Here is a 3,711-nt window from a genome sequence, read left to right on the forward strand (position 1 = left end):
CCTCAGATAGTAAATAAATATTTTATACTGCCACAAGCAATTTGTAAAATATACTGGCAATTTCTAGGTATGGCTTTCTTAGTATTATTAAAAATTCACCAAGTTGCAAAGAGGACTATGAATTAATTTATCAGTATCAATTTATTGACTAGGTAGGTCCTGAAATCAGGTAAAAACTCACAAAGATCAAAATCACATCTAAGTCACAGAAGATCTAAATTACTCCACTGATGCATACATATACATGCTCATGGCAAATTTTAAAAATTAAAATAGTATCTTATGCTTAAATTTATAGATATCCTAAATAACTTATGAGCTACCCATAAAATAGGCCATATACTCCCATTAACAAGACAGAAGTAGAGAAAAAATATGGAATTATAATTTTTCCATGTATGTAATTATATTCTATAGTCTATCCCTTTGAAAAGTAACACAGAGTAGGGGTTAAGCATAAGGTCTCTAAAACCCTGAAACCTGGGATCCAATATCCCACTTCTATTAGGTGTTAGCTATGTGACCTCAGGCACGCAATGTAACACCTCTGTATGTTGCTTTCCTTATCCACAAAACATGGATGAGCTCAAAGGAACAAACTTCACAAACTGTTGTGAAGACTGATTATACCTTTTAGAGCAGTCCTTGGCACTCAGGAAGGGTAACCAATTAATGTTAACACTTACTCTGTATAACCACAATTATAATGGTATGAGCCAAATTGGCTTTATTGCTCGAAATCAACCCTTTCCCTACAAACTGTTCCCTTTCTCACCTGTGCTCAGATACTGATTCTCCCAGTTCTTTCAATCTGCCTCCTTCTGCCAACACATTGATGACTTGGCGGCTGATGAGCCCTGAAGGGTAATTTTCTGCTGGAGTTGGAGGCCCTCAAGTGACTGACCACAGGATGTCAAAATTGCTCCTAAGTAGGGCTTGCTATATTTCTTCTGTTTTATTCTTTTTGAATATGTTTTGTTGTTGCCGCAGTTATTCTATTCCTGCTGAATTATGCAGTGGACAGATGGGGAGCAGATCACTTTTTTCTTAGTTCATGAAGTGCCGTCTCCAGCCCTGAAATAGATTTCCACATAAGTACATCACCCAGAGATCCTAAACTCTGGGCTTGGAATCCTTGCACAATGGAATTCCACAGTTGTAACCTTCCAAAGGGGGTGAATATATTTCTTGCATAGGAGAGTGAATTCAGTATTTTGTTACCGAAGAGCAGATTTGGGGAGTCACTAGTGCTATTCTCCAGATATTTTATTTTCCTTTCTGGTACATGCTCCTTTGAAGTTAGGTGTGGCCACGTGACTTACATGTAATGTGAACAAAAGTGATGTGTCACTTCAGAGTGGAAGCTTTAAGTTTCAGTAAATAATTCACCACTTTCTCCATCCCCTGCCTTGCTGATGGTGGAATTATGTCAAGGTCGTCCCTCCATCAGCCTCGGTTCCAGAGTGCTTATAACCCCCTCAACAATGTGCAGAGCCCCCCATGGGCTAAGGTGGACACATAGTTTGAGAAAAAAAAAAAAAAACCTTTTGTGACAATGCACTGAAATTTTGGAATTGTTTTTTCAGTATCACCTAGCTCATGCCATTACAGAAAACAGTTAGCCTCACTGCCATCCCTGGGAGATTCCCTGCAATCCCTGTTCTTGCTCCCAATAAAAGCCCTTTCCCTTAGTCTCCCAACTCACACCAGAGACCCAGGATATAGTTTCAGGCTGACATTGCAAGACAATATTTAGAAAAGAACAACTCAAAGGCTCTGCAGTCAACCTACCTAGCTAATTTGAGGTTCCACCACTTACTAATTAGCCAAATGACTGAGCAACGTATTTAATATGTGTAAAATGGGGGTAACAGTGTTCATCTGTTTCAGTTACTATGCCTGTGTAAGAAACCACAAAACTTAATGGTGTCAAACAAGCTTTTTTATTATGCTCACAGATTTGTGAATGAAGAACTTGGACAGAGCACACAACAGGGATGGCTCATCTCTCCTTCCCATGCATGGGCTCCAGGTAGAATACTCAAAGATTAGCAGCTGGAACCATCTGGAGCCTCACTCCCTGACACAGCTGGCAGTTGGTGGCTGCTGTTGGCTGTCGACTAAGCCCTTTGCTAGGGGAGTCAGCCCAAACTCACATACAGCCTCTCCACGTGGCCTGGGCTTCCTTATACATCAAAAGAGAGAAAGCAGAAGCTACATCATTTTTTGTGACCTGGTTTCAGAAGTCATGCAGCATCGCTTCCACTGTATTCTACTACTAGGCAATTGCAAAATCTTGCCCAGGCTCAAGGAGAGAAGAAATAGGCTGCTTCTTCACGGGGGCAGCCAGGCTCCGGAAGAGTACATGGGACCAGGAACACTGCTATGGCCACTTTTAGAAAATAAAATCTGCCACACTTCCTAAGATTGGAATGAGCTAACACAATAAAAGTACTTAGAAAAGCTGCAAAGTACATGCTTGGTATTGATTTTTCCACTGCACAGTCTAGAACCACACATAACTGCCTCCCTGCCCAGCTTCCACTTTGCTTCTTCGTGGCCAGACTTTCCCTTCTTAGGGACCTAGTCCAATGATCCTTTATCAAAGATTCTAGACCAAACTAAGGCAATTCCAAGACAGGAGGCATTCAGGAGCATGCTCTGACTCCGTGGGCTCAAGATGTTCATATCACAGTCTAATACAAGCAAATTTCCCACAAAGTATAATCCTCTGGAGACTGGGCTATCATAGGCTTAAGGTTAGTTCCTTTTTATGTTTTTCCTTGTAAAGGACTTAAGAAGCTTTCAGGCCTTATGTCAACCAAGATAACCTACCACACATATACAATTGTCCCTTTGTAGCAAAAGATCTTCAAGAAAATGTTAAAACTTTAAAAGTAGATTTTAGGTGGATTTTACTTTTCTTTTTTTTTAAAATAGAAGTGTATCATTCTGTCAAACTATACGGTACCTTTTAGCAGATTTTAAGAGAAAGTGAAATAAACCTCTAAAGGGCGGGTCATTCACGACAGTGCTCACATCAGACTGAAATGGCAGAATGACATCAGCTAATAATCTTTTAGTTTATGCTCAAAAGAACTGGACTATTGGCTGTTAGAGATGCTGTGTAGATTAGTGCCTCCTTGGCACTAAATTACCAATATCCAGGAAAACAGGTTTAGCCAATAAGTGAGCTATTAAGTCATGTGTACAACAATTCAAGGGCCGTTTCTTCAAATCTTCTATAATTTAAATTGCAAAAGAAGAGAAAAAGCTAGCTTTATTCTTTGTGCCAAGAACCTTCTATAAGCCTTGTGTGTAGTTTGAAATCCAGAAAGGTGCTGCCATTATAATTGACGTATAGTTTGCTGCTATGAAATTGGCTTAACTAAGTATCTTTACTATCAAACTTCTGGGTGATAACTAAATATGCCAAATCTCAGTCACTAAAGTTAAAAATCTAGAGCCAGACCCCACTCCCTGGAAAACTGGCAATTTGGGGTTTATGTCATACATGAATCTTGTCATGTACACTGTGTAATCATTCTCAACCAAGTTTCCCAAGTATTTTCGATGTCATTTAGCTTGGCTGTCTGAGGCTTTACCAGGAATAAATATGCCTAGAATCAAATCATTCTAGGTTTAGGCAACTTAAGCACCTACAAACACAAGATTATCATTAAAAGTCATCTACTAGGCCCGGGTGCAGTG

At 39.8% G+C, this 3,711-nt stretch overlaps 1 annotated feature.

The window, feature by feature from the left end:
- Nucleotides 733-913: a silencer, noted in NCBI's record as "fragment chr7:97475873-97476053 (GRCh37/hg19 assembly coordinates)". NCBI's record gives its function as "represses an EF-1alpha promoter that drives an FKBP-Casp9 reporter gene in an ReSE screen in HepG2 liver carcinoma cells {active_cell/tissue: HepG2}" and the evidence as "EXISTENCE:reporter gene assay evidence [ECO:0000049][PMID:32094911]".

This window comes from Homo sapiens, chromosome 7 (assembly GCF_000001405.40).
Source record: "Homo sapiens chromosome 7, GRCh38.p14 Primary Assembly".
Lineage (NCBI taxonomy): Eukaryota > Metazoa > Chordata > Mammalia > Primates > Hominidae > Homo > Homo sapiens.